The 24,607-nt window shown below is 43.2% G+C and overlaps 4 annotated features.

The window, feature by feature from the left end:
• Nucleotides 5,166-5,215: an enhancer, noted in NCBI's record as "active region_29575". NCBI's record gives its function as "activates an Ori minimal core promoter by ATAC-STARR-seq in GM12878 lymphoblastoid cells {active_cell/tissue: GM12878}" and the evidence as "EXISTENCE:reporter gene assay evidence [ECO:0000049][PMID:35858748]".
• Nucleotides 5,306-5,355: an enhancer, noted in NCBI's record as "active region_29576". NCBI's record gives its function as "activates an Ori minimal core promoter by ATAC-STARR-seq in GM12878 lymphoblastoid cells {active_cell/tissue: GM12878}" and the evidence as "EXISTENCE:reporter gene assay evidence [ECO:0000049][PMID:35858748]".
• Nucleotides 21,006-21,300: an enhancer, noted in NCBI's record as "tiled region #10799; HepG2 Activating DNase matched - State 8:EnhW". NCBI's record gives its function as "activates a minimal TATA promoter and a strong SV40 promoter by Sharpr-MPRA in HepG2 cells {active_cell/tissue: HepG2}" and the evidence as "EXISTENCE:reporter gene assay evidence [ECO:0000049][PMID:27701403]".
• Nucleotides 22,269-22,394: a silencer, noted in NCBI's record as "fragment chrX:46673232-46673357 (GRCh37/hg19 assembly coordinates)". NCBI's record gives its function as "represses an EF-1alpha promoter that drives an FKBP-Casp9 reporter gene in an ReSE screen in phorbol 12-myristate 13-acetate-treated (for megakaryocytic differentiation) K562 erythroleukemia cells {active_cell/tissue: K562(+PMA)}" and the evidence as "EXISTENCE:reporter gene assay evidence [ECO:0000049][PMID:32094911]".

Consider the following 24,607-nt stretch of genomic DNA (forward strand, 5'->3'; position numbering starts at 1 on the left):
CAGGAGTTTGAGATCAGCCTGGCCAACATGGTGAAACCCCGTCTCTACTAAAAATACAAAAATTAGCTGGGTGTGGTGGTGGGCACCTGTAATCCCAGCTACTGGGTGGGGGGAGGGGCTGAGGCAGGAGAATCACTTGAAGCTGGGAGGCGGAGGTTGCAGTGAGCCAAGATCATGCCCTTGCACTCCAGCCTGGGTGACAGAGCAAGACTGTCTCAAATAAATAAATAAATATATGTCCACAAATTCTTTGATTCTTCTTCCATTGAGAAGTGTGGCTTATGCACCTTTTCTTTGAACTGGGACAGGATTGTGACTGGTTTGTAGCCGCTAGAAAGAGGAAGAAATGATGCCGCATGACTTCCAAAGCTAGGCCAGAAAAGGCGAGGCAGCTCCTGACTTCTTCCCTGGGACTTTGACTTTTGAGTCCCTAATTCACCATGTAAAAAGTTGGATTATCCTGAGGCCACCATGCTGTGGGACAGTCCAGGCCATATGGAAAGGTCACATAGAGGTGTTCTAGTCAGCACTCTCAGCTGAGGTCCCAGCCAACATTCAGACACGTAAATGGAGATACTTCCTTGTGGTTCCAGCCCCCAGCCGCTGAGTCACCCCAGTCATCAAGTCTTCCCAGCTGAGGCCCTAAACATCGTGGAGCAGAGACAATGGACTCCCACTGTGTGCTTTGTCTGAACTCCTGACCCACAAAATTAGTGGGCATAATAAGGTGGTTATTGTAAGCCTCGAAGTTTTGGGGTAATTTATTACCAAGCAATTAGGTAGCCAGAACACGCAGGATACAAAGCTTACTATGAGCAATGATAAATGCTCTGGACAGCCTGTGCACGCTTATAGAATATGTTCTGTGTGTCTTTTGGCTCTGCAGGGACCTGGAAATGACTCAAAGAAATTCTTCCTTTGGAAGAATTAAAAAGTAGAATTTCTAGATTTAAAGCCTAGTTTTTGGAGGTCTACTGTGTGCTTTGCTTCAAGAGGCAAGTTTGTGACAAATGAAGCCCAGCCATTCTAAAAAAATCCAAGCATGTAGATGCCTCAGAGGATGTAGGAAATTAGTCATTAACCACACAAGTTTAGTTCCTGATCCAAAATACTGTGTGCATGTTTTGCAATTTAATCTGGTTGGCACTGGATTTTTGTTTCATTTTGCATTGACTAAACATAAGATACAGGTTGGCCCAGTTGCGTTAGTCATAAAATATATCAAGCCATCTTAGTTAAATAGCTTTTAAAGCTAAGAATTTTCTCTCTGGATAAAATAATCTCATTTAGATAATGTTTCCAGATACCTCCAAGTGAGCGTGAATATCAGTGTTTGAGCAATCCAAATGAAGGAAGTCCTTTTATTTTCATAGCAGCTAAGATAATTTATATCATTAACAAACAGAAGAAGTGAGGAATTCCACTTTCGGTTTTAATTAGAATGTAAAGACTCATTAAATGGAAGGAACTGAAAACCACCATCTTCAACAGGTCATAATGTACCCAATGTAACAAGTAAAATGCCTCGGGAAATTGCAGAGCGAAATTTTCCTGGTGCTCAATATGGTTTAAATTCTAGGGGTTGGATTAAGGAAAATATCTACCTTATTACCTATAATGTCTCCCTACTTATTCTAATCAGATACTTTAGAGAAATTGTTGGAGATCACTTGCCAGAAACATACCTCAAGGTTTCCATCTCACCTCTGAAAAGTGACTTAGAAGAAAAGTGACTTTTGACTCCAGTCAAACTGTTTTCTTCTAAACCCTTGACGTCAACAATTTTTACTTAACATGAAACCTATATATTGCAAACAATTTCTCTTCCTACTTAATGATATTGGGGGATGATATTGGGGGATCTTCCCGATAATACTATGGTAGGACAAGTTGAAAGAAGAAAAACCTCAAAAAGGTATTCTTTGTCACTTCAGTCAGTAGGCAGCATTTGATCCTGAGGTTACAGGGCTGAGAAAATGAAATGGAGAAAATATGTATTGAAGGCTTAGAGGTGGCAGGAACTATTATTATCACATAGAGAACTAAAGCCGAGAGATAGTAACCTGCGCAAGATCATGTAATCAGGAAGGGGTAGGGCCAAACTTTGAACACTGGGGCACCTTTGACTAGGAAGCAGTACTGCTTCTTGGAACAGAGCTTATGAAAAACGGGGCCTAGAAACAGTAGGAAACATTTGAATACACAAGAGTATGGTTACCCCCTATCACATCCAAGGAAAAACAGAGGAATCAGGTAGATCATGAGCTGGTTGTTTTGCATCTTTCTATTCCATTTCTTCTGTATTCACTCATCAATTCTAGCATTTGTCTCTCTATGCCTTGTTAGCCCACTCATCCTCCACTTTCCTAATCACCCTTCCTATAGCCTATGCACTTTGAACACAGAGACCCACCCCACTCCATCCTAGTTGCTAGGAGAACTTAACAAGGTAAGGTATTTCACAATAGAACTGTGTAAATTGTAAAGTGCCATTTAAATGTGAGGTATTATTATTATTTATACTAATTTGATGTTGCGTCCTGTTCTACCACATTGCCTGGAATGGAATCTAATTCTTCTTCTTTTTTTTTTTTTTTTTGAGACAGAGTCTCGATCTGTCACCCAGGCTGGAGTGCAGTGGTGCAATCTCGGCTCACTGCAGCCTCCGCCTCCCTGGTTCAAGTGATTCTCCTGCCTCAGCCTCCTGAGTAGCTGGGATTACAAGCACGCGCCACCACGCCTGGCTAATTTTTGTACTTTTAGTAGAGACGGGGTTTCACCATGTTGGTCAGGCTGGGCTGGAGAGTTTTTTGTTTTTTTTTTTGTGGTAAAACACACTTAACATAAAATGTACTTTTTTTTTTTTTTGAGACAAGGTCTCACCCTGTCACCCAGGTGCAGCAGTGCAGTGACACGATCATGACTCACAGTAGTCTTGATCTCCTGGGCTCAAGGTATCCTCCTGCCTCAGCCTCCTGAGTAGCTGGGACCACAGGCACGCACTACCATGCCTGGCTAATTAAAAAAAAATATGATTATTATCTCTATTTGAGACTGAGTCTTGCTCTGTCACCCAGGCTGGAGTACAGTGGTGCAATCTCGGCTCATTGCAACCCTCTGCTTCCCGGATTCAAGCGATTCTCCTGCCTCAGCCTCCCAAGTAGCTGGGACTACAGGTGCCCGCCACCACGCCCAGCTAATTTTTGTATTTTTAGTAGAAACAGGGTTTCACTATGTTGGCCTGTCTGGTCTCGAACTCCTGACCTTGTGATCCACCTACCTCGGCCTCCCAAAGTGCTGCAATTACAGGTGTGAGACACCTCGCCTCACTATGTTGTCCAGGGTGGTCTTGACTTCCTGGGCTCAAGTGACCCTTCTGCCTCAGCCTCCCAAAGTGTTGTGATTAAAGGCCTGAGCCACCACCCCTACCAACATGTACTATCCTAATCATTTCTTTATAAGGATATAGTTCAGTATCGATAAATATATTCACATTGTTGTGCATCCAATCTCCAGAACATTTTCATCCTGCAAAACGAAAATTGTAAGGCCAGGTGCGGTGGCACATGCCTGTAATTCCAGCACTTTGGGAGGCTGAGGCAGGTGGATCACTTGAGGTCAGGAGTTCAAGACCAGCCTGGCCAATGTGGCAAAACCCTGTCTCTACTAAAAATACAAAAATTAGCTGGGTGTGGTGGCGGGCGCCTGCAATCCCAGCTACTCGGGAGGCTGAGATAGGAGAATCACTTGAACCCAGGAGGTGGAGGTTGCAGTGAGCCGAGATCACGCCACTGTACTCCAGCCTGGGCAACAAGAGCAAGACTCCATCTCAAAAAAAAAACGAAAACAAAAAACAACTAAAACTGTATATCCATTATCCATTAAACACCAACTCTCCATTTTCCCTTCCCCTCAGCTCTTGGTAACCACCTTCTACTTTCTGTCTCTATGAATTTGACTACTCTAGGTACATCATATAAGTGGGATCATACACTATTTATCTTTTTTTGTGACTGGCTTATTTCACTTGTCACAATGTCCTGAAGGTTCATCCATGTTGCAACATGTGTCGAATTGCCTTCCTTTTTCTCTTTCTTTCTTTCTTTCTTTTCTTTTCTTTTCTTTTTTTTTTTTTTTTTTTGAGACAGAGTTTTGTTCTTGTCACCCAGGCCGGAGTGCAATGGCGCAATCTCGGGTCACTGTAACCTCTACCTCCTGGGTTCAAGCGATTCTCCCACCTCAGTCTCCCTAGTAGTTGGGATTACAGGCACCCGGCACCATGCTCGGCTAATTTTTGTATTTTTAGTAGAGACGAGGTTTTGCCATGTTGGCCAAGCTGGTCTTGAACTCCTGACCTCAGGTGATCCGCCCGCCTTGGCCTCCCAAAGTGCTGGGATTACAGGCATGAGCTACTGCGCCCGGCCCCTTCCTTTTTAAGGCTGAATAGTATTCCATTCTATGTATATACCACATTTTGCTTATCCATTTATTCATCCATGGACATTTCAGTTGCTTCCACTTATCCTCAGAGCTTTTTAAAATTAGTGCCACTCCCAGTTCACACAAAAATAAATGATCCCCACCCTTTCTACCCTGCTTCCTACTCTGCACTGCCATTTGTTTGTCAGAGGCTGACCCTCCTCCCTTCTTTCTCCTATGCCTTCCTCCTTGCCTTGAGGATGGTTTCACTCCTATGCCACCCCTCCTTTCTTTTGCATCCATCCCTGTTCCCTGCCAACCAACCCCAACTCTGGGTCTTTTATTTTATTTTATTTTAAAGACAGAGTATCGCTCTGTCACCCAGGCTGGAGTGCAGTGGTGCGATCTCGGCTCACTGCAACCTCTGCCTCCTGGGTTCAAGTGATTCTCCTGCCTCAGCCTCCCGAGTAGCTGGGATTACAGGCGCCCGTCACCACGCCTGGCTAATTTTTGTGTTTTTAGTAGAGACGAGGTTTCACCAGTTTGCTCAGGCTGGTCTCGAACTCCTGGGCTCAAGCTATCCACCTGCCTCGGCTTCCCAAAGTGCAGGGATACAGGCATGAGCTGCCGCGCCCGGCCTGGGTCCTTCATTTTAGACACCAGATGCTAATCCTGGGCTTCTGGAAGACCCTTTCACGTTTCTTTTTCTGCTGGGAAACACATCATACCCTCTTCCAACCACTCACAGATGCTGTCTCCTAAGCCCAAAGGCCCATGTTGCAGTTTAGCTAGGGCCTTTCCAAGTTAGTAAATTCTTCTGGCACGGCCCCCTGCTGCCACCTGCTGGCTGTATCCATCGATGCCGCTATGGGTATTGTTTCCTATTCATGAGACCTGTATGAAGGGAGTTAGTCTTTCCCATCCTATCATCCATCATGGGATAAGAATTTCATCTACCTAAATTTTTTTTCTTTACAGTATTTTCACCTTGTTCTATTTTTTAAAGAAAAGTCCTTTAGCAAATCTGTGTGCAGGTCACAGATGGTCTCACCAGACTTGCCCAAACCTAAAGAAACATCTCTGTATTTGGGCACTGCAATTTGCAAAAGGACAAAAGAGTCAAATGTATATCAGTTCTCATTAGCTCCCTGACAGCAATTATATTACATTCAAATAAGTTGAATTGTGGATAATACATAAAATGCTAAATACCAAGTTTTCTTTGAAACTGGTAAAATATTTCGAAAATCTTTTGAAAACACTTCAAAACCAGACAAGATTTTTGTGTGTGTGTGTGAGACAGGGTCTCACTCTGTCACCCAGGCTGGAGTGCACTGGTGCGATCTCAGTTCACTGCAACCTCCACCTCCCGGGCTCAAGCGATTCTCCCACCTCAGCCTCCTGAGTAGCTGGGACTACAGGCACACGCTACCATGCTCGGCTAAGTTTTTGTATTTTTTGGTAGAGAGGGGGTTTCACCATGTTGGCTAGGCTGGTCTTGAACTCCTGACCTCAAGTGATCCACCTGCCTTGGCCTCCCAAAGTGTTGGGATTACAAGCGTGAGCCACTGTGCCCGGCCCCAGACAAGATTGTTTATTGTTGTTATTTTAAACTTTAATACAGACATAAAAACAAAATCTGTGGAAATACAACAAGAATTACTTTACAGATTCTTTGGCCCTTTTGAAATAAGGAGAGCTAAGAATGAAGAGTCAATTTTGTGTTTATAGATGAAACTAATTTGTGAATGGGCAAAACTGAAAACGCATAAGAGTCCAAGCCTGGGCATTGGAGGGTAAGGCATTAAAATTAAGAATTTCTGACTACATCTTTATTTATTATTGTTTCTTTCACCTTCCCTCCACCCCAGGTTCCTGCTTTGTCTTCTCACTTCACATTGAACTTGTTTCCAGCACATGTACATAAGAGACATCCATCCTGTCATGACCTCTCGTTATAACAGGGGAGGTCAGTGGCACTGGAAATATATATTTTTTAATTTATTTTATCTTTTAAAAAAAATTTTGGCCAAGCTCGGTGGCTCACACCTGTAATCCCGGCACTTTGGGTGGCCAAGGTGGGCAGATCACCTGAAGTAAGGAGTTCAAGACCAGCCTGGCCAACATGGCAAAACCCTGTCTCTACTAAAAATACAAAAATTAGCCAGGCGTGGTGGTGTGTGCCTGTAATCCCAGCTACTTGGGAGGCTGAGGCAAGAGAATCACTTGAACTCGGGAGGCGGAGGCCGCAGTGAGCCGAGATTGCACCACTGCACTGCAGCCTGGATAAGAGAATGAGCCTCTGTCTCAAAAAAAAAAAAAAAAAGTACAGAGATAGGGAGTCTTGCTTTGTTGCCCAGGTTGGTCTTGAACTCCTGGCCTCAAGAGATTCTCTTGCCTTGGCCTTCCAAAGTGCTGAGATTACAGGTGTGAGCCACCACATCTGGCCTGAAAATATTTTTTACAGGGCGCTGTATTATTATTATTATTATTATTATCATTATTATCATTATTTGACACGGAGTCTTGCTCTGTTGCCCAGGCTGGAGTGCAGTGGGGTGATCTCAGCTCATTGCAACCTCTGCCTCCTGGGTTCAAGCAATTATCCTGTCTCAGCCTCCTGAGTAGCTGGGACTACAGGCGCACGCTGCCACACCCAGCTAATTTTTTTGTATTTTAGTAGAGATGGGGTTTCACCATGTTATCCAGGCTGGTCTCGAACTCCTGAGCTCAGGCAATCCACCGGCCTCAGCCTCCCAAAGTGCTGGGATTACAGGTGTGAGCCACTGTGCTGGGCCATGGCAGTGTATTATTTTTAAGGGCAGTGTAAGAGTTGGGAAAAGAGGCTGGGTGCAGTGGCTCATGCCTGTAATCCCAGCTCTTTGGGAGGCCAAGGAGGAAGGATCCCTTGAGGCCAAGAGTTTGAGACCAGCCTGGGCAACATAGCGAGACCCCCGTCTCTACCAAAAATAACAAAGTTAGCTGGGTGTGGTGGTGTGTGCCTGTAGTCCAAGCTCTTTGGGAGGCCAAGGTGAGAGGAGACCCTGAGTCCAGGAGTTTGAGGCAGCAGTGAGCTGTGTTCATGCCACTGCACTCCAGCCTGGGTGACAGAGTGAGACTCTGTCTCAAAAAAAAAAAAAAAGAAAAAAAAATTACATAAAACTTCTATTGCCTGAAGCCTTAGAGCTTTACAGAGACTCTGAATCACATCAAAATTATGAGCGAGGAGTCAACTTACAGACATTGCCTTGAAAGGTGGGAAAGGGAGAAGGTCTTTAATAAATGCTACCTTGAAAATGTCATCATAAGCCAGCATGATGTCTCATGCCTGTAATCCCAGCACTTTGGGAGGCCAAAGCATGCAGATTATTTGAGGTCAGGAGTTTGAGACCAGCCTGGCCAACATGGTGAAACTCCATCTTTATTAAAAATACAACAACAAAAAAATTGGCTGGTGTGGTGGTGCACACCTGTAATCCCAGCTACTCAGGAGGCTGGGCCTCGAGAATTGCTTGAACCCAGGAGGCAGAGGCTGCAGTGAGCCAAGATCGCACCACTGCACTCTATTCTGGGTAACAGAGTGAGACTCTGTCTCAAAAAGAAATAAATAAGGCCAGGCACAGTGGCTCATGCCTGTAATCCCAGCAATTTGGGAGGCTGAGGCAGGTGGATCGCCGGAGGTTGGGAGTTCGAGACCAGCCTGACCAACATGGAGAAACCCCATCTCTACTAAAAATACAGAAAATTAGCCAGGTGTAGTGGCACATGCCTGTAGTCACACCTATTCGGGAAGCTGAGGCAGGAGAATCACTTGAACCCCAGAGTTGGAGGTTGTGGTGAGCCAAGATCATGCCATTGCACTCCCACCTGGGCAACAAGAGCAAAACTCCGTCTCAAAATAAATAAAATAAAATAAAATAAAATAAAATAAAATAAAATAAAATAAATGTCATCATAGATTTGGTTCTTTCAGGTGGAGGGGCCAGGTAGATCAGCCCATGCTTCGTCAGGTGAACTTCTTGTTCTTGCCATAGGAATCTAGCGATGGGTATGTTAACACATGTCAATCCTACCAGGGGGAAAACAGATGCTAATAGGCTGAGTCGTGTAAAACATCTCAAGAAATTCTGTCAAATCCTAATAAAATAAGAGCAATTGTTAATCAAATTCAGTATTACAAAACATTTTAATCTTTGGTCAATTATTTAATAGTGATTTTGAGCACTTACTAACTACTCTGATTTAGCATACATTGTTTCTTTTAATCCTCACAACAATTCTATGAAAGCACCATACTATCATCAGCAGCACCATCCTTATTTTATTTTACTTTTGAGACAGGGTCTCACTCTGTTGCCCAGGCTGGAGTGCAATCAGAGCTCACTGCAGCCTCGACTTCCCAGGCTCAAGTGATCCTCGCATCTCAGTCTCCCAAGTACCTGGGACCACAGGCACACGCCACCATGTCCAGCTAATTTTTAAATTCTTTTGTAGAGATGGGGTCTTGCTATGTTGCCCAGACTGGTCTTGCATTCCTGAGCTCAAGCATCCTCTGTCTCTGCCTCCCAAAGTGCCAGGCATGAGCCATCATGCCCAGCCTAAATTATTTTAAATATTTAGTAGCTCTTTTGCATTTCCATGACTGGGAATTGCTTGTTCATGTCCTTTGCACTGCTCCCAGCCATTATCCCCATTTTACATAGGAGGAAAGTGAAGTTCAGGAATCTTAACTTGGCTGTGGTCACAAGTTCCTGGGATTCAAGCCACTGTAATCTGACCTCACAGCTCATGCTCAAACACTGTACTGTTTTGCCTTCTGTGGCCCCCATGTTTACTTACAAAACTTTATAGTACCTATACCTTTATAGGTATAGTATAGTATAGGTATAGTACCTATACCTTTATAGGTACTTTAAAAGTTCACTATAATAAAATTTCTGGCTGGGCACGGTCGCTCACGCCTGTAATCTCAGCACTTTTGGAGGCCAAGGCGGGTGGATCACCCGAGGTCAGGAGCTCGAGACCAGCCTGACTGACATGGAGAAACCCCATCTCTACTAAAAATACAAAAATTAGCCAGGAGTGGTGGCAGACGCCTGTAATCCCAGCTACTCGGGAGGCTGAGGCAGGATAATTGCTTGAACCCAGGAGGCGGAGGTTGCAGTGAGCTGAGATTGCACCATTGCACTCCAGCCTGGGCAACAAGAGAGAAAATCCATCTCAATAAATAAATAAATAAAATTTCTACATGTGCACTTCACTTTGGAATAAGTGTATATGTGGTGACATTGTTGGTTACCTACCCAGCATCCATCCTTTATCCTGCTTGTTGAAGAAACCCCAATTTTATTTAAGTATCTCTCCCTCCATTTGTTCAGCCTTTATAATTTAGTGAAGGTGATACCAGCTCACCTTGAGGGGCAGGTCCTGAGAAGTCTAGGCTAGTCATGGTAATCCTATTGCCCCTACCTGAGAAGCCAAATCCCAGGCTTACAACAATTAATCCAGCATTTCTCTCTGGGAACTGTTATGACTCCAGAGGTAATGACCAATGACCCAAACTGGCCTAAGAGGTGTCAAGTAGAGAACATTTATTCCTTGGTTTGATTGTAAATTTTCTCTCTTTCTCTCTCCCCCTTTCCCTCCCTCACTCACTCCCTCACTTCCACTCTCTCTTTCCCTGCCCCCCTTTCTTAACTCGTCACCTCTTTGTCTCTATGTCTATCTCTGTCTTTCTCACTCTCTTTGTCTCTCTCTCTCTTTCACACACACACACACACACACACACACACGCATACACACAGCTGTCAACGTGAAATTGCACCTTACACCAACCATCCCAAGAAAGAGCTGAAAAACCAAACCTGTTCCATTCATTCTAACTGCAAGTTTTGCAATGGTTACAGATAAAGAAACTGCATCTGGGACAAGACCAAAGTCATTTACTCCTCTCTTCTCCCTACTGATGACAACTCCAATTCTGCTTTGGCTCAGGAAGTTACCTACTTTTGAGGTGCTCCCAGATGCCCATTGGCTATATAAAGCCTTTAATCTCTATTTGAATCATTTTCATTTATTTCTTTGTTGCTATCCACTTGTCCCAACATACTATATTAAATATTCCATTCAGTAGCATTCCAAAGAAGGTGGGGGTGGGGGTAGGAGCAGTCCATTCAGCAGCTGGAGTAGGAGGAGAATTTTATCATTGACATTCTTCAGAATCACTGATGCCTGATGATGATAAAAATAAGACTGATTTATCCATCCTTATTATTGTTTGCAAATTCTTCATAATGGTGAACCCCTATGCTTCTATACTTAGGGTGAGCCATCGCACTGTCCCTCTTCCTAGCTTGGTACTCCACTGAGTCCATTTTTTTCCTACTGATTCAATTATTATGTATCAATTTCCATTCCTGGGTTTCCTCTTCTATTCCCTCGGTCTATCTCTTTATATTGAAGTTCACTCTCTTTTTTTTTTGAGACAGGGTTTCACCTTGTCTCCTAAGCTGGAGTGCAGTAGCACAATCATGGCTCACTTAATCCTCCAGTCTCAGCCTCCCAAAGTTCTGGGATTACAGGCATGAGTCACTGTGCCTGGCCCTAGTTACACTCTTAAGGCTTTATAATATGTCTTAATATCTGATCATTCTGGTTCCTCTATCATTGCTCTTCTGTTTTTTCAGATTTCTCTGGCTACCTTTTCCATATGCATTTCAAGATCAGTTTGTTTAGTTGTGGCTTCTGGTTTTGACTATAATTTTAATCGAATTTGAATTAGAACATTTGAAGTTTATAGTCCATTTGACATTACATAATATATAAAGTCATCTACCAAGGTTAGGGAAATTTCTCATTCTATTTATTATAATTTAAATTTTTAAAATTTTAGCCGTTCTTTGTTTTGTTGTTGTTGTTGTCTTGTTTTGTTTTTTTGAGATGGAGTCTTGCTCTGTCGCCCAGGCTGGAGTGCAGTATTCGATCTCAGCTCACTGCAACCTCCCCCTCCTGGCTTCAAGCAATTCTCCTGCCTCAGCCTCCTGAGTAGCTGGGATTACAGGTGCCTGCCACCACACCCAGCTAATTTTTTGTATTTTTAATAGAAACGGGGTTTCACCATGTTGGCCAGGCTGGTCTCTAACTCCTGACCTCGTGATTCACCTACCTGGGTCTCCCAAAGTGCTGGGATTACAGGCATGAGCCACCGTGCCCAGCCTTTAGTTGTTCTTTGAATAGGTGATTGTTGTGATTTGAATGTTTGTGTCCCCTGGGAAATTCATGTTAAAACTTTATCCCCAATGCAATAGTGTTAAGAAGTATGACCTTTGAGAGGTGATTGTGTCATGAGGGCTCCACCCTTATGAATGGGATCAGCACCCTGATAAAAGCGCTTAAGTTTGAAGGGAAAGGGCTCTTTCTTGCCCTTCCACGTTCCACCATGTGAGGGCACAGCAACAGGTGTTGTCTTGGAAGCAGAGAGCAGCCCTCACCAGATATCAGTGCCAGAACCCTGATCTTGGACTTCCCAGCCTCCAGAAGTGTAAGAAATAAATTTCTGTTCTTTATAAATTACCTAGTCTTAGGTTATTTTGTTATAGCAGAACAAACAGACTAAGACAGTGATAAACTCGTGCGGTGCAAAATTCAAAAGGAACAAAACATTTTATTTATTTATTTATTTATTGAGACAGAGTTTTGCTCTCGTTGCCCAGGCTGGAGTGCAGTGGCATGATCTGAGCTCACTGCAACCTCCGCCTCCTAGGTTCAAGCGATTCTTGTGCCTCAGCCTCTTGAGTAGCTGGGATTACAGGCGCCTGCCACCATGCCCTGCTAATTTTTATATTTTTAGTAGAGACGGAGTTTCGCCATGTTGGCCAGGCTGGTCTCGAACTCCTGAGCTCAGGTGATCCGACCGCCTCAGCCTCCCAAAGTGCTGGGATTACAGGTGTGAACCACCGCACCCGGCCAGAACAAAACATTTTATAGTGAAAAGTCATTTCCCCATCCCATCTCCCAGACACCCAGTTTTCTTCCCATGAGGCAACCTATGTTGCCAGCTTTTATCAGAGATGGTCTATGTGTAGACAAGCAGATATATGGGTATATTTTTTTCCCTTTGTATATAAGTGGCACCACACTTTACACACTGTTCTGTGCCATGCATTTTCCACTGAACAATATTTTTGGGAAATTATTTCAGGTTAATACATGAAAAGCTTCCCCTCCCCCAGCTGCATAATACTTTATTGAATAGATGTACCACAAAGTACCACTATTGCTGTTCATTTAGGTGAGGAAAGATCTCTTGCTATTATGTACTGTATGATTCCATTTGCATGAAATTCTAAATATTGCAAGATGATCTATAGTGACAGAAAGCAGATCAGTGGTTGTTCTGGGGATTGGATATGGGAATAAGGGGATGTGACATCTGTCAAAATTTGCTGAATTGGGCCAGGCGTGGTGGCTCACGCCTGTAATCCCAGCACTTTGGTAGGCCAAGCGCAGGGGGCTGGGAGGGTGGATCTCTTGAAGTCAGGAGTTTGAGACCAGCCTGGTCAACATGGTGAAACCCCATCTCTACCAAAAATATAAAAAATTAGCTGGGTGTGGTGGTGCACACCTGTAATCCCAGCTACTCAGGAGACTGAGGCAGGAGAATCGCTTGAATCCAGGAGGTGGAGGTTGCAGTGAGCAGAGATCACGCCACTGCACTCCAGCCTGTGTGACAGAGCGAGACTCCATCTCAAAAAATAATTACTGAATTGTACACTTTAGGTGAGTGCAGTTTATTGTACCTAAATCACACTTCAATAAAACTACTTTTCGCAAATCTAATGCCATTACCACAATGCTATAATAAATAACCTTTATATACATGTCCATTTTTTTCATCTCCACCTGTTTTCTCAAGTATTTGTCATGATTTTACAGTAACCGATTTTGTTTATTTTCAGAAAGGATAATCTTGGTACAAAAATATATTCATTTGTTTATTTAGTTGTTCAATTTTTTTTTGTCTGTTTCCCCCACCTCACTCCCTGCCCCCAGGAGAAAACAGGAACCTTGTCTATATCATTCACTACTTTTTATCCCCAGAGCACAGAATAGTGCCTAGCACAGAGTAGGTGTCCAACAAATATCTGTTGAAAGAAAGAGCATTAAAAATGTATATTTTCAGGCTTCACTTCTAGGGGTTCAGATTCAGTAGGTCTGTGGCAGGGCCTGGGAATCTGTATTTTTAATAAGTGCCTCAGATAATTCTGGTTGTCAATCAGGTTGGGATTCAGGCCTACCCCCTTGCTGCCCCAGGTAACTGCAGCAGTCTTCTTACTCCTTCCTGCGTGCTGTGCCCCTTCTTAAAACATTGTGATGTAGTAGATTGCTTCCAAAGATTGCCACAACACTCCTTCCCATCCTGAATGCCTTTTTCACCATGACTTTGCCACTCTTACTATCAAGAGGTGGAGCCTCTTTCTTCCCCTTGAATCATGTCTGATCTTGTAGCCTGCTTTGACCAATAGAATGTGATGGAAATGGGTGCTATGCCAGTTCAGCTCAAGGCCTAAGCCTTAAGAGACCTTGCAGCTTCCGTTTCTGCTCTTTTGGAAGCTATGTGAAAGAGAAGCAAGCCACCCAGCCAAAATCCTCCACCAAGGTCCTAGACATGTGAATGAGGTAATCTAGGATCCTTCACTGCTTGTGGAGCCACCCCAGTTGACAACACATGGAGAGGGATCAAGCTGCCCCTACTAAGCCATCCTCAGATTCCCAACTGACAGAATTGTGAGCAATTAAATGGTACTTGTTTTAAGCCCCTACATTTTGGAACTGACAGTTACAAGGTTATAATAACTAAAACAAATGCTATTGCATTGCTTTCAGGATACATCCTTAGAGGGTTTGAAAGACCTGTGATGATGTGACCCCTGGTCATCTCTCTAAACTCACCTCCTGCTAAAGCTACCCAGTCTAGGAAAACTTACCTGAGTCCCTAGGCTTCAGATGCTGTTATAGTTGACTTCTGACTTTGGAATAAGACATCCCTGGCGTTGTCCAAATTGCGTGGCCTTGATTAAGTTACCAAAGCACTCTTGGTTTTATTATTCTCATCTTTGACATAGGAATGATAATAGCACTTAACTCATAAGGGTGTTGCGTGAATTCACTAAGATAATGCATGACAAATATTTAGGATAGCACCTAGCACATGGGTGGAACACAATAAAGGTTAGCAATAATAATAATTACTACATTATCTTGTAATTGTCTGTTTTTGTTTTGTTTGGTTTTCCCCTCTAGATTGCAAGCACTGTGTGGACAGCAGGGACCATACCTTGTCCATTCTTATATTCTCAGGGTCTAGCATAGTAGGTGTACTCAATAAATAACTGTTAAATACATGAATGAACGAATGAATCAGCAAGAGAGTAAACAAACAAACTTATTAGTGATGCGATATTGATGAACTGAACTGCTACACGTATGTACACTGGTATTATCTCTTATTCTTTAAGAACAGAGCTTCAGGTATTCATTAGGTTCTCTCATTACAACAATGTGGTGAAGTTGTCTCAGAGTCCTGATTAGATAGGATCACAGGGCATGTTGAACCAGATTCTTTCTTATATTTTATTTTATTTGAGATGGAGTCTCGCTCTGTCTCCCAGGCTGGAGTGCAGTGGTGCGATCTCGGCTCACTGCAACGTCCGCCTCCCAGGTTCAAGTGATTCTCCTGCCTCAGCCTCCCCAGTATCTGGGATTACAGGCACCCACCACCACACCTGGCTAATTTTTGTATTTTTAGTAGAGATGGGTTTTCACCATGTTAGCCAGGCTGGTCTCGAACTCCCGACCTCAGGTAATCCACCCACCTCGGCCACTCAAAGTGCTGGGATTACAGGCGTGAGCCACTGTGCCCGGCCTTTTAAAAATTTTTTAATTTTTTAAATTATTTCTTTGAGACAATCTCACTCTGTCACTCAGGCTGGAGTGCAGTGGTGTGATCTCAGCTCACTGCAATCTCCGCCTCCCAGGTTCAAGCGATTCTCCTGCCTCAGCCTCCCGAGTAGCTGGGACTACAGGTGTGTGCCACCACACCTGGCTAATTTTTGTATTTTTAGTAGAGATGGGGTTCCACAACAGTGGCCAGGCTGGTCTTGAACTCCTGACTTCAAGTGATCTGCCCACCTCAGCCTCCCAAAGTGCTGGGATTACAGACGTGAGCCAACGCACCTGGCCTCTGACTCTTTGATTATGTTTTTTTGGTCTTGACTTTTTTCTTCCAACACAGATGCTATAGTTGGAATCTCAGTTAAGTCTTCTTCTGAAAGTGCTACGTAGATCTCTTAATTTTGTCAAGCATAAGGCCTCGCCTTTAACTTACATTGTTTATCTGTTTATAACAAATCGTATTATTGGGATTACAGGAAAAGCATTTTGGTGGAGTTTTCTGTTTGTTTTTTGCAGAGAGAAAGCAGTTTTCTATTTACTATTTCTACTTTAAGCTTCTGCAAGACTGTTTTTGTTTTTGACAACAAGCATGAACTGCTGGTAGTCAAGGAGATAGGATCATTACTGCAGTCTGAGAGTTGAAAACATCCAGATGTGTCACATTATTAATTAATCTGCTGCATTATTTTTCCATCTTATCTTCAAACACTGTCTCTTGCTACCCTGGTTATTAACAAGTAGTATAATTTATCCCTCAGAGGCCCTCAGAGTGACATAATTGTATTTTTAAAAACAGATGTACAAAACAAGGCAGGAAAGTATCACGTATTTTATAACACCAGAGCCTACTTACAAAGTTAAATAATTTAATGGTGATTTACAACTTAACATGTAGCTTATGTAACATGAAAAAAAATCTATGAGATAGAAATTAATGTGTTTTGTTGTTTTTTCAGGTTGTTTGTTTGTTTGTTTTGAGACAGGGTCTCATTCTGTCACCCAGGCTGGAGTGCAGTGGTGCAAACATGGCTCACTGTAGCCTTGATGTCCTTGGCTCAGGTGTTCCTCCCATCTCAGCCTCCCAAGTAGCTGGGACAACAGGCATGTGTCACCACGCCTGGCTAATTTGTGTATTTTTTTGGAAGAGATGGGCTTCGCCATAATGCCCAGGCTGGTCTCAACGTCCTGGTCTCAAAAGATCCTCCTACCTCAGCTTCCCGAAGTTCTGGGACTACAGGCGTGAGCCACCATGACTGACCTTCTATTTGGTTTTGAGGGTGTTTGTTTGTTTGTTTTGTGAGACAGAATCTCGCTCTGTCAGCCGGTCTGGAGTGCAGTGGCACAATCTCGGCTCACTGCAACTTCCACCTCCCGGGTTCAAGTGATTCTCCTGTCTCAGCCTCCCTAGTAGCTGGGATTACAGGCATGCACCGCCATGCCCAGCTACTTTTTGTAGTTTTAGTAGAGGCAAAGTTTCACCATGTTGGCCAGGCTGGTCCCAAACTCCTGACTTCAAGTGATCCACCCACCTCTGCCTCCCAAAGTGCTGGGATTACAGACGTGAGCCACCACCTCCAGCCTGTTTTGTTGTTGTTGTTGTTGTTGTTGTTGTTGTTGTTGTTGTTTTTCAAAATGAACCTTAACTTTTCCACACTATATTCATTGTTCCCATCTCCTCTCCTTTCAGTCTCTCTTGAACACCCTCCAGTCAGGCTTTCGTTCCTGTATCTCCACAAAAACTGCTCTTGTCCTAAGTCCCTAACAACCTCCACGTAACCAAATCCTGTGGTCATTTCAGTCTACGTGAAAGACTTTCTTCTTGTGGCCTCTGGACTCTTCTTCCACCTCATTGATTATTTCTTATTAGTTTTTATTTAACTTTTTATTTTGGAATAATTTAAGACTCACAAGAAGTTGCAAAAATACTATAGAGAGATCCCATATACCTGTTCCCAGCTTTCCTGTAACGATAGCTTTTGACATAACCATAGTATATAATCAAAAGCAGTAAACTGACATTGTCACAATACTCTTAATGAAACTACAGAACTGGCCGGGTGCGGGTGGCTCACGCCTGTAATCCCAGCACTTTGGGAGGCCAAGGCAGGCAGATCACTTGCGGTCAGGAGTTCAAGACTAGCCTGGCCAACATGGTGAAAACCCGTCTCTACTAAAAATACAAAAATTAGCCAGGCATGGTGGCAGGCACCTGTAATCCCAGCTACTCAGGAGGCTGAGGCAGGAGAATCCTTGAACCTGGGAGGTGGAGGTTGCAGTGTGCCGAGATCATGCCACTGCACTCCAGCCTGGGCCACAAGAGCGAAACTGTGAAGAAAGAAAGAGAGAAAGAGAGAAGGAGAGAAGGAGAGAAGGAGAGGAAGGGAGAAAGGGAGGAAGGCAGGAAGGAAGAAAGAACAGAAACTATGGAACTGAATGAACTTAATGAAACTACAGAACTATAGAACTGGTGGATTTCACCAGTTTTTATATATGTTTACTTTGAGGGGTGATTGTATAGTATAGATTCATGTAACCACCACCACAATCAGGACACAGAACTAGTCCACTGCCACAAAGAAACTTCCTTTTGCTACCTCTTTATAATTATACCCTATCCCTAGCCCCCGCCAACCATTAATCTGTTCTCATCATTAAAATTTTGTCATTTCAAGAGTGTCATATAAATTGAACATTTTGAGAAACAACACAGCAAATTGTCTTTTTTCACTCAGCATAATAACATGAGAAAACATGAGAAAAAACATAATTCAAGTTGTTACATGTATCAGTAATATATTCCTTGTTCTGCCTGAGTAGTAGTTCACTGTATGGATGTACCACTTTACCTATTTGCCCATTAAAGGGCATTTGGCTTGTTCCGAGTTTCTGGCTATTACAAATAAAGCTACTGTGAACATTACTTATGGGGAATGCATCGTTTTTCTCTGGCTGCTTTCAAGAATTTTTCCTTTGTCATTACTTTTCAGAAATTTGATTATGATGTGTCTGACTGCCGATTCCTTTAGGTCTATCCTGTTAGGATTTGCTCAGCTTCTTAAGTTTTTAGGTTTATGTCTTTTACTAAATTTTGTTATTGTCCCATAGGTCCCTGAGGCTCTGTTCATTATTTTCCAGTCTATTTTCTCTCTTATTCATATTGGGTAATTCCTATTGATCTATCTTTAAGTTCACTGGTTCTTTCCTCTGTCATCTCCATTCTGTTATTGAGCCCATCAAGTGAGTTATTTCAGTTATTGTATAGCTCTACACTTCCCATTTGGTTCATTTTTATATCTTTTATTTCTTTGCTGAGGCTTTCTATTTTTTCATTAGTTTCAAGAATGTTCATGACTGCTTGTTGGAGCACTTTTATCATAGTTGCTTCAAAATTATTGTCAAATAATTTCAACGCCTGTGTCATCTCAATGTTGGCTAGCGTTGGTTGTCTTTTCTCATTCAGGCTGAGATTCTCATAATTCTTGGTATGATGGGTCATTTTTATTATATCCTAGACAGTTTGAGTATTATTTTATGAGACTTTGGTCCTTATTCAAATCTATTATAGCAGGCAGTTAACCTGTTTAAGTTAAGAACACATATCTTGGCCTATGTACTAGTCCATTTTCACACTGCTGATAAAGACATACCCAAGACTGGGTAATTTATAAAGAAAAGGAGGTTTAATGGACTCACAGTTCCACATGGGAGGCATGGGAGGCCTCATAATCATGGCAGAAGGCAAAAGGCACGTCTTACACGGCAGGGGGAAGAGAGAATGAGAGCCAAGCAAAAGAGGAAACTCCTTATAAAACCATCAGATCTTGTGAGACTTATTCACTAGCACAAGAACAGTTGGGGGAAACTGCCCCCCATGATTCAATTATCTCCCACCAGGCCCCTCCTACAACACCTGGGAATTATGGGAGCTACAATTCAAGATGAGATTTGGGTGGGGACACAGCCAAAGCCTATCAGCCTACTTTTGTGGGCTGTGGTCCAAATACACATTTAGTTTTCAAAGGCTTTGCAATACTATTTTGGTCTGCTCATGTGTGTGCTACCCACAGGTCAATCTGAAACCTGGGTGATGTTCCAGACCATTGTTCAGTCCTGAAGCTTTTTGTTGTGTTATTTCTAGTCAGTCTCACACATGAGTTGTTCAGAGGTCTGCCAAGGATTTCGTACACAGATTTTAAAGATCACTTTCTTTAGCTCCCTTTTCTCAGTAATCCTTTCCACTTTCTAGTTGGGAGAGAGAGGAGTGAGGCTTTGCTTGTGGTGTTCACCTGGAATAAGGCAGGTATAATCAAAATGTTTCTGTCCTGCTGAGCCACGCTTTTCCTGATTTTTTGGCAAAGGAAAGTGGACTTTTCTTGGGGCATTTTTTTGGTCTGTGCTTACTGACATTTCTGGAATGTGGGCTTCTCCAGGGAGCAGGCTATTGTATATAGGAGACAAAACAAAACAAATAAACAGGGAAGTCACCTCTGGATTGTTTCTTAATTCTCAAGGTTCCCAATCATTCTGCCTTTTTTTCTTCACATTTCAGAGTCTTCTGATGGGTGCTTTATCAAATTTGTATAGGCTTTTTGTATGTTTGTTTTGTTTTCATTTTTGTTTTTTGAGATAGGATCTCACTCTGTCGCCCAGGCTGGAGTGCAGTGGCACGATCTTGGCTCACTGCAAACTCCACCTCCTGGGCTTAAGAGATTCTCCTGCATCAGCCTCCCGAGTAGCTGGGACTACAGGCACGTGCCACCACACCTGGCTATTTTTTGTATTTTTTGTAGAGGTGGGGTTTTGCCATGTTGCCCAGGCTTGTCTCAAACTCCTGAGCTCAAGTGATCTACCTGCCTCAGCCTCCCAAAGACCTAGGATTACAGGTGAGAGTCACTCCCATTTTTTAAATTAATGGGAGTGACAGGGTGGAACATTCCACCCTGTCACTCCCATCAATTTGAAGAAAACCCAGACAGCCAGTCTAGGTTTTTGGTTTTGGTCCTTCTTCATATTCCCCGTGGCTCTCTCTTGAGACCTCTTTTTTTCTGTAGCTGTGTTCATCTCTATCTAGTCTCATCAAATGCTGTGACTTTAATTGCCATTATAAGTAGCTCTCAAATAAATATCTTCAACTATGACCATTCTCTCGAACCCCAGACTCACATATTAAACCACCTTAGTTGTCTAGTAGACACCTCAAACTAAACACTTACAGAACCAAATTCAACTTTTCTGTTTGAACTTGCTCCTTCATTCTTACTCATCTCAGTAAATAGAAACCTTATTCTGCTAGGTGCTTAGATTATCTTTGATTCCTCTCTTTTTCTCATACCCCAATCTAATCCATCAGGACTTCTTGTTGGTACTACCTTCAAAATAAAACCAAAAGCCAATCACTTCTCATCATTTCCACAGCTACCTTCCTGGTCCAACCTAATATCAACTCTTACTTGAATTAGTGGAATAGCATGCTAACTGGTTGCCCTGCTTTCTTTCTTGCCTTCCCCATATGCTGGTCTTCGCATCAAAGCAAGGCTTTTACGTGCAAATCAGATCATGTCACACCTCTGCTAAAAAATTCCTGAGTCAAACTCAGAGTCCTTATCATTCTCCTCCCTGATCTGGTGCTGCTACTCCTCTGCCTTGATCTCCTACCAGTCTTCTTTTTGGCCACTGTGCTGTATCCACACTGGCTTTTGTGCTGTTCTTAGACTATGCCAAACATTTCCTGCCTTTCAGCGTCAATATTTGCTGTCTCTTCCACCTGGAATGCACTTGTTCCGGATAGCCAAATAGCCTGGTCACTCATTGCCCTTAGGTTTCTGCTCAAATGACTCATTCCTTATCAGAGAGGCCCTCCCTGATCATTCCCTCTAAAATAGTACCCTTACCTGTCTTTCTTTCTTTGCCCTCATTTATTTTTCTCTTTAGCATTTGTCCCAGTTAGCTACTGTTGCCTAACAAGCCATCCCAAAACTTAGTGGTTTTAAATAACAACCATTTTACTCACAATTTTGTGGGATAGGTGTTCAGGCATCCTGAGGCTGGGAGCGGTGGCTCACACCTGTAATCCTAGCACTTTGGGAGGCCGAGGCAGCCGATCACCTGAGGTCAGGAGTTTGAGACCAGCCTGGCTAACATGGCAAAACCCTGTCTCTACTAAAAATACAAAAATTAGCCAGGAGTGGTGGTGGGCACTTGTAATCCCAGCCACTAGGGAGGCTAAGGCAAGAGAATCACTTGAACCCGGGAGGCGGGGGTTGCAGTCAGCCGAGATCGGGCCACTGCACTCCAGCCTGGGCGACAGAGTAAGATTCCGTCTCAAAAAAAAAAAAAAAAAGTTCAAGCATCTTGGGGCCTCAGTTGGGATGGATTTAATGGCTGAGAGTGAGCCTCACATGCATTGGGTCTCACTTTTGCTGTATCTGAGCTCCTCACATCTCCTGCATAAAGGACTCTCCATGTAACTAGCTTGGAATTCCTCATTCCTCACAGCGAGGTGGTCTCAGAGTAGTTGGATATCTTACATGGTGGCTGACTTCTCTCTTAGATGAAGTGGAAATTGCCAGGCTTTTACAGAGGTGGGCCCAGAACTGATATAGCAACACTTCTGCAACATGCTCTTGGTCAAGGAAGGAAACAAGGCCAGCTCATAGAAGAAGAGAGAAAATATATTCTACCACTTGGTAGAAGGAACAGCATGCATGTGCAGGAAGGGAAAGAACTGATGATAGCCATGGCTATCTTTGGAGATTATTTATAATACCACAGAATTTACCACCTGACATTATTCATATTAGGTTTTGTTTGTTTTGTTTTGTTTGTTTGTTTGTTTTTGAGATACAGTCTCTCTCTGTTGCCCAGGCTGGAGTGCAATGGCAGGATCTCGGCTCACTGCAACCTCTGCCTCCCAGGCTCAAGTGATCCTCGCACCTCAGCCTCCCAAGTAGCTGGGACTACAGGTGCACACCACCATGCCTGGTTAATTTTTCTATTTTTTGTAGAGATGGGGTTTTGCTCTGTTGCCCAGGCTGGTCTCAAACTCCTGAGCTCAAGCGATCTACCAATCTTGGCCTCCCAAAGTGCTGGGATTGCAGGGGTGAGCCACTGTGCTTGGCCCTCATATTGGTTTATATCACTAGGTCTGTGAGAGCAAGAGGTTATCTATAAGTTCACTATTATACCCCCAGTGCCCAGAACAGTACTTGGCACATAGTAGGTGATCAACTATTTTGTTAATAAATTCAAGAGGTAAACTTTGGTGATTCCTTACTAAACACACACACACACACACACACACACACAAACCACCAAAAAACATCTGAATTACTGTTCCTACAATTGTTAAGCTCTGCTGACATCTGGTCCAATATTTTACTATATATCTTTAATTACAATTTTATGGGTTGGGCGTGGTGGCTCACACCTGTAATTGCAGCACTTTGGGAGGCCAAGGCAGGGGGACTGCTTGAGCCCAGACCAGTATGGGCAACATAGGGAGACCTCATCTCTACAAAAATTGTTTTTTAAAAAATTAGCCAGGCATGGTGGTGTACATCTGTGGTCCCAGCTACTCAGGAGGCTGAGGTGGGAGGATTTCTTGAGCCAAGGAAGTGGAGGCGGCAGTGAGCCATGATCGTGCCACTGCACTCCAGCTTGGGCAACAGAGTGTGACACTGCCTCAAATAACAATAATAATAATAATCATCATCATCATCTTACAATACAAACAGAAGTTTACAGATTTTACCTGTGGTGAAAACATGCACCATAGAAGAATAGAGGTGAAGTCCTCAGGGGTTTGTGGACCTGGAAAGAGGCACGCTTCTGTCTATACCAAAGCTTAAGGATATTATGTGGTTATTACATAAGCCTCCTCTTCAGAAAAGTCATATCCAGAGTCAAAGGGAAATTTTCTTGTCACCAGTCACAGTCCCTACTCATTCTTAACCTTTCAAGTAGCCCCCAAATTTCTGAGACACTTTATTGAAGGCAAGCAAAGAAGATATATGTAATAACCAGTAACGAAATCAGCCAGTTAATTGAGTACAGGGAGGCAGAGGACTTTGTATCCACAAGTGAAGTATACTGTAGGCCCCACCCACAGCTCCTACTCAAGAGACAGCCATTAGGCTTGTACCATTTCCCCAAGATGTCTTACTAGCCACACATGTCACTCTAAACTGAAGGTCTGGCCCAAAAGCACCAAATCCATAGACACGTGTGTAATCTATGATTTCGCCTGCAAAGAAGAGATTAGCTGAGTCACAATCCGTCCTCAGGCATTTCACTGGGAAATGCCAAAAAAACTGGATGACTAGTGTCTGTGATGGGCCATGTGTAAGGAGAAATTATGAGAGAACAGAACGTAGGAATAAAAGAAGCTATGAGGCCAGGTGCAGTGGCTCATGCCTGTAATCCCGGCACTTTGGGAGGCCGAGGTGGGCGGATCACCTGAGGTCAGGAGTTCGAGACCGGCCTGGTCAGTATGGTGAAACCTGGTCTTTAGTAAAAATACAAAAAAATTAGCCGGGAGTGGTGGTGGGTGCCTGTAATCCCAGCAACTCAGGAGGCTGAGGCAGGAGAATCACTTGAATCTGGGAGGTCAGAGGTTGCAGTGAGCCGAGATGGCACCATTGCACTCCAGACTGGGCAACAAGGGTGAAACTCCATCTCAAAAAAAAAAAAAAGCTATGAGGTACTGAAAAGATATAGAGTGAGAAGGTAAATGGTAGTCAGATAGAAACAAACAGACATGTGGAGAGTAGCTTAAGCATAATAACAGTGGGGCACTAGGATGAAGAGCCACAAACGCCTGCTGTCTCTCCTGTCATCTTAGATTCCTCCCACTCTAACCTCCAACAGAAGCCCAAGGCAAATGCTTCAATAATGTATTCGGAAGGAGCTTTCCCTATGCTTATAAACAATGCATGAAGGGACTTTTTTGTTATTATGATTATAATATTTAATCCAATAACATTTTCTGCTTATTTTCTAATGCTGATAAGAACCATAAAAGGAGAAAAAAAACCTTATCCTTTCGGTAGAATTCCAGGGAATAGGAAATGAACAGTGCTATTGTACCACACATTTAGAAGATGAGTCAAATTAGATCCCCTACACTTCAAACAAACAAAGAGAAATATGGGGTGAAAATTAAACTTAGATTATTTTGATTATAGACAATCATATTAAGTTTGCTCAATTCTTCTCTTTTTCTGACTCAAGGTGACAA

Source organism: Homo sapiens, chromosome X, assembly GCF_000001405.40.
Source record: "Homo sapiens chromosome X, GRCh38.p14 Primary Assembly".
NCBI classification, from domain to species: Eukaryota; Metazoa; Chordata; class Mammalia; order Primates; family Hominidae; genus Homo; species Homo sapiens.